The sequence below is a fragment of the Homo sapiens genome, chromosome 9 (genome assembly GCF_000001405.40).
Source record: "Homo sapiens chromosome 9, GRCh38.p14 Primary Assembly".
Classification (NCBI taxonomy): Eukaryota; Metazoa; Chordata; class Mammalia; order Primates; family Hominidae; genus Homo; species Homo sapiens.
In genome coordinates, this window is record NC_000009.12 from 78,029,012 (window position 1) to 78,035,011 (window position 6,000).

The 6,000-nt window shown below is 51.3% G+C and overlaps 1 protein-coding gene across 2 annotated transcripts in view, besides 1 other annotated feature; it reads right to left on the minus strand.

The window, feature by feature from the left end:
• GNAQ (G protein subunit alpha q) overlaps positions 1–2,800 on the minus strand; it is a 315,715-nt gene extending 312,915 nt beyond the window's left edge. Inside the window, exon 1 of one of the 2 annotated variants that reach the window (NM_002072.5) lies at positions 2,089–2,800. In NM_002072.5, coding sequence (NP_002063.2) covers positions 2,089–2,224 — 136 coding nt within the window. In that variant the 5' untranslated portion in view covers positions 2,225–2,800. Of the gene's footprint in view, positions 1–1,730; positions 1,911–2,088 lie in introns of those variants that run through there. The other variant, XM_047423239.1, reaches the window with a different exon arrangement.
• Positions 1,989–2,883: an enhancer, noted in NCBI's record as "H3K27ac hESC enhancer chr9:80645916-80646810 (GRCh37/hg19 assembly coordinates)". NCBI's record gives its function as "activates a minimal SCP1, AML or CMV promoter by ChIP-STARR-seq in naive H9 embryonic stem cells {active_cell/tissue: H9 hESC(naive)}" and the evidence as "EXISTENCE:reporter gene assay evidence [ECO:0000049][PMID:30033119]".

The window sequence follows — 6,000 nt, forward strand, 5'->3', positions numbered from 1 at the left end:
CAGTAAAATTGGTTTACACTTTTTCTCAGAAAATTATCTCCAAGTTCATTTTTAAAAGCACAGTGTTATTTAAATACACAGTATGGAATTAAGCATCCATGTAAGTGTATTTCCCTTAGACATTCAAACCTAGGCCCACTGAGAAACTCCCTGGGCTTTAACTCTTAGCTGCTGGGAAACTCAGAGCTGTCACTTTTCAGGCAAATAGGGTTGGCTGGAGAGACCTCAACTGCCCAGTTCACAATTAAACAGAAACAAAGACTGTCAACAGGGCAATAAAATAAAAAAAAAACACAATTCTTAAAACAAGTCTCTCTAAAATACGTGCGTTTCCCCTTAATTATACACTTAAAACACTCTTATTTCTTTTGTTCTTTATTTTCTTCTCAACCTTGAGAACTCAGAAAACATTCAACTGCCTGTTTTCAGCCACTAGAAGTAGCTCAAAATGAGAATTAAAAAAAAAAAAATCTTTACTTTCCAATTGCAGTTTGCCTCCTCCCTGGCTTCATTCCCCTAAGCCCAACTCTTTCATCCAGTGCTTTTGCCTTCTGCTTTTTATAAACATGTGCACATTTATCTAATTGAGTTTCAAAATGAAGACATAAAGAAAGCATGTCATGGGAATTAACTATTAGTAACTATGTGTGTGATCAGTATATTTTGTTCCTGCTTGTAAATGATCCAGTACATAAGCAGTTCATTCCCAAAGGCAATTGGTTCCTTGAGCCAGCAAATGGAATGCTCAAGATAAGAAAGAAAATGCATGCTTCTCACAAACACCAACTAACAGTACAATATTCTTTTCTTACAGAAATGTTTGAGAAACACATTTATTATACATGCAAATACCCAGAACACAAGTGCAGACATTTTTCAGGCCCGTTACTGCAAAGCTGTTTGCTCTTCCTGCCACAGTAGCTCAGGGTTCTGTCACTGTGGCTTGTATATGAACCCTGATCGCTTGATTCTGAACATCCTCCCAGAGATAATCATCAATAAATTTCTATTTGAGAAATGGCATTTTCTTGCTAACTTAGTGTTGAAGCAGAATTTTTTTTTCAAGACTAGAGGGAAATTTTTCCTGTATGCTTCCCGTTTTTCCTTCTCGCCCAGATTCCAAAGACATTAAAATGCTATCTGTTTTAAACAAAAGGTTTCTATTTGTTGCCAAGAGAGTAACTGAGAGACTGCACTGGTTTTCGGTAGTAACTATTGTGAACTGAGGCCTACATCTAGGTTGCCTCATTAAACAAAAGATACCGGTCGCTGTCAACAACCACACAGCACAACGCTCCCCTACCCTCATCTTTATCTAGAAGGAATGGTGCAGACGAGAATAACGCCTGTCACCATCCACTGGCCAACTCTTCTAGGCTCCCTCCTTTCGATGGTCTGGTGGCTAGAGAACAGCACTTGTGTGACACATTTGGGCTTGCCCTCCCGCCTCGCCCCCAGTACACAGACCCTTTCCTTGGAGGGCCAACCACTTGGCTTCCTCACCATGAGTGCTCCGGGAATCCAGCTGCGAGTCTGCCCACCGTTCCCCCATTCCCTCCTGACCCCATAGGGCACTGATAATGGATGCACACCGGCCACTCCACCGCAGGCCATCCCCCAACGTGCCCCGGCTCCGCTCGCCACCCGCTGGGCCACACACACGGCTCCCCACGCCACCACCCCATGGGGTGCCGCGGCCACGACACTGGAAGTTCAACCCCTCTGCCCACCTTTCCACCCCCGCGCCTCTGGTCGGAGTGATCTGCCATTTAGCAGATGCACAGCAGATAAGGTACAGCCCTCAGGGACACGAAAAGGAACAAGCCAAGGCACCGGGCAGGGCAGCCCCGACCCCTGTGCTGCGTGTGTGTGTCGCTGTGTGTGTGTGTGTGTGTGTGTGTGTGTGTGTCTGTGTGTAACGCGCCCGCGCGCCCGCGCGGGTGAAGGCAGTGGCCGGGGGCGCGCCCGGGAGGGTAGGGGCGAACCGCGGGCGCCGGGGGGCGGGGGCGCCGAAGGCAGCTGCCCCGCAGGGCCAAGGATGGTGGGCTGGGGGCGCAGAGGCCCGGCGGGGCCCCGGACGGTACTCACCGAGCAGCAGCAGCTTGAGCTCCCGGCGGGCGTCCCGCTTGTCCCTGCGGAGCTGCCGCTCGATCTCGTCGTTGATCCGCCGGGCTTCCTTGGCCTCCTCGCTCAGGCAGCACGCCATGATGGACTCCAGAGTCATTCTTCCAAAGTGCCTCCGCTGCAGCCCCGCCGGCACCCCCTGCTCACAGCGCGCACACACACCCTCCCGCCCTCGCTCCCCCGAGGCAGCGGTGGCCGCCGAGCCCCCGCCGCCCGGGCGCGCGTCCGGGACGAGCTCCGGGAACCGCCGCGGGGGCGGCGGCCAGGGCCGGGGCCACCAGGTGGGCCGGGGGCGCGGTGGGAGCGGATAGTCTGGGCCGACGGGAGAAGAGAGGCGGGCGCGGGAGGCGGGCGCTGGCTCGGGGGGCGCGTGAGAGAAGGCCGCCGCGCCCGGCCTCGCTCAGACGCCCGCGCCTCCTTCCCCGGGAACAGGCGGCCCGCCTCGCCCCCCGAGCCGCCGCCGCCGCCGCCGCCTGCGAGGCTCCCCTACGCCGTGCGCCTGGCGGCGAGAGCTCATTCACCGGGGTGTCCCCGCAGCGAGCGGCCGCCGACGGCTCCCCGCGCCCGGCGCGCCCGCTCCTCGCCGCCGCCTGACACGGCTCCCGGGCGCCCTCGGCCCTGTCCGCGCCCACCGCCCGGCTCGCGCGCAGACCCGGTTCCCGTCCCGCCCGGCAACCGCGCGCTCCTCCGCCTCCGCCTCCGCCCCCGCCCCCGCCAGACGCCCACCCCCTGCCCCGATTGCCAGGCGCGGAGCGGCTGCTCAGTGCGAGCCCTCCCCCTCGCCACACACACACATTTTCTTCTTTCTCTGAACTGGAGCACAGATCCGGGAGGGAGGAGGCGGCGGCGAAAGGAGGAGGAGGAAGAGGCGGAGGGGATGGGCGCGGGAGGAGGGAGCCGGGAGGCGGTGCCGCCCGGCCCCTCCTGGAAGGCTTTCCTGGGCTCGCGGCCGCCGCGGCGCGCCTCCCAGTGCGGCTCTCGCCTCGCCCGCGCGGCTCCCGGGCTGGGCCGGCCCCCGCGGGCTCTGCGGACGCCTACTGCTCCCGCACCCTCGGCAGAGTCCGCGGGCGCAGCAGTCACGGCCGCCCCCGGCCGAAGTCGGGGCCAGACCCGGCCGCCGACGCGCAGCCCGAGCCGGCGGCCGCCGTTGCGTGCCAGGGCCGCAGCCGACCTGCGGCTGCCGTCCGGCCGGGCGTGGTGAGACAGGAATATGGCGGCCTCTGCCTGCCTCAGCCCACCGGCCCGGGAGCGCGGCCGCGGCCCCTGCTGAAGTCGCGGGAGGCGGCCCCGCGGAGCCCCGCACGCGCTCCCTGCGGCGCCGGCGCTGGCGTCCGCCGCTCCCGGGCTGTGCCTGTCTGCTCCACGGGGTCGCTCCTCAGCCGTTTCTGTGTTTCCCGTTCCTATTTCTAAAACGCCATTCGGTTAGAAACTCTCACGTCACCTCTGACACCGGTGCAGTCTTAGAAAATAAGCTCCTCTATACTGTGTGGGGCTACTGGGGAAGGGAAGGGAAGGAATTGGCACCGGTGCCCAGAGGTGTAGGGGGAGATTCACAGGCGAAGCTGTTCGCAAAGTAACGTGAGATAGAAATCTAAATCCTGAACAGAGAAAGGAAGCTGCCCAAGTTTCCAAGAGCCTCCCGATAGGTTCCAACTTTTCATGCCTTTGTTTTTTTGGTGGTTGTTGGTTGTTTTTGTTTTTTTAAGTTGTTTTTGTTTTTGTTTTACAAGTTCTCTTGTTTCTGAGAAGGCACACGATGTTTAGCCGCCGAGTAATCGAATTTACTCTTCTAGACTGAGATTGAATTATGGATGACTTATGGGAAAATGTAAAATAATGTGGAATAAAAGGAAAGGAAAGAATGAAATAGAAGAGAAACTAAGGAGGCCCCAGCAAAACGGCATTCTAGTTTTTTTGATTTGCAATATGTGATTGAGGCAGTAAACTGTCGTATGCACATTTCATTGTGATCGTCTACTGATAAATAGCACACGAAAATAATCTTGTTTAATCAGGCCCAGGAGATGAAACTCATATTGCTTCCTGCCTTAAAGGAACCTGAGGTCTTCAAAGAAAATTGTCTTTTATGAAGAGAACCGCTTTTTCACGTTTCATGTGTTCTCTGAAGTGTCCCTGGTGCAACCTGCTGATCCAGAGTGTAAGGTACGGTCATGACTCTGCTTTTGCTACAGATCAAGAACTCATATAGGGTTCTTAGACAACAGGTGTGTAACTTCCTTCTTTCTTTCATTTGCCATTACTCCACCGTTTCACACACATACACACACTCTAAACCACGATTTAAATCAAGCAAGTCAAGATATAAAATATATATTTTAGGTTCTCTGTTTAAAACCTAGAAAATAATTAAATTTCACCTTGCCCTGGAGAGCAGAGAGGGCAAACCTCAACCCTTTTATGTGAATGCCTACAGAGAACAGCTAGACTTGCTATGAAATTAAAATTTAAAATCAAGTGACTAAAGAAATTAAAGATTGAAATTCAGTATGCAAAAATAGAAAGTGGCTTCAGAAGAAAAAATTTTAAGTTTGCATCCTCCGAATATATGTATGTATATGAGCTTTGGAGAGACACAGAACACTGGAAAACCAAATGACAGAAAGCTTGAAGTCTCTGGTTACCTACCCAGGGATCCTCTGAGACTTTTAAAAATGTCTTTTAAAATGAGCCATCAGGCTATCAGGTAATATGTTTTGACTGAATTGTCCTATTATTTGATGAATTCATCTGTTTCAGCGGGCTATAGAGTCAGAGTCTGTTTTGTCCCCCCTGTATCCCCCCAACATCATGAACACTCCCTGGCAACTTAGATACTTAAATGGATGCAATGAATCAATAGGAGAATGTTTCAAGTATTGGGGAGAAACCAGGAAGTAAGAAAAACCAACACTCTACAGTGATAAAGCCATATATGGGTGTCAAGAAGGAAACAGGAAAAGAAATTCCAAGTCTGAGCCCAGATCTATCCAAAAACCTTTTCATATTATCTGGAGAGCGTTTGCCAAGCAAATATTCCTAGAGACTAAGTCAAACAAATAGAACCCATGCAGAAACAACTGATAGTTGACCATGTTCTACAAGCACATACTCTAAAACATGCAACTAAACAGGGATTATGTTACAAAATCCCAGTTCATTCAGTCAACAAGCATTTATTCATTGCCTACTATGTGTAAATAACAGGTGAAGGTACAGGATAAGAGAGATACTAAAATGAATAAAATACAGTCCTTACCCTCCATAGGCTTATAGTCTTATAATGAGGCTCTAAGCAGCTATAATACAAGACTAAAATCAATTTGTATAAAATTTGGGGTGGAAGTAACAACATAAAGGTATAAAAAGGAAGGGGAGAACTGGAAAAGATACGGCAGGAAAAGGGGCATTGACATGCATGTTAAAGAATGAAAAGGTTTTCAATAAATAGGTACCTACATCACCTCAAAGTAAATGAGCAATTCCAAGTCACCCCACACAGAGAGTAAGATGATAAACCATTTTGAGAATTCAAGGACAATTACTAATGAGCTGAAAAGCAAATTGCAATACCCAAGGAAAATTGAACTTCAGAGAAAAATAGGAAGACTGTCACCTTTTCTATGGTATCCTGAGATGGATCTCCAACCCCACAATCATATCACCCTGTCCTTTGGGGACTGGCAAAGAAAAACAGTAAAAGGCATAGTTTAGTCTTAAGGAGTGGTTCTGCAGTCAAAGAATGAAAAGGCCATGCTCTTCTAAAAGGATCTCCTGGGGAAGGAAAGGCCCATAGAGGTCATCAGACACAGGCAATATACAGTACCTCTCTTATTCCCAGTCACTTAGCATGGCTGCTTCATATGCACCATACTACTG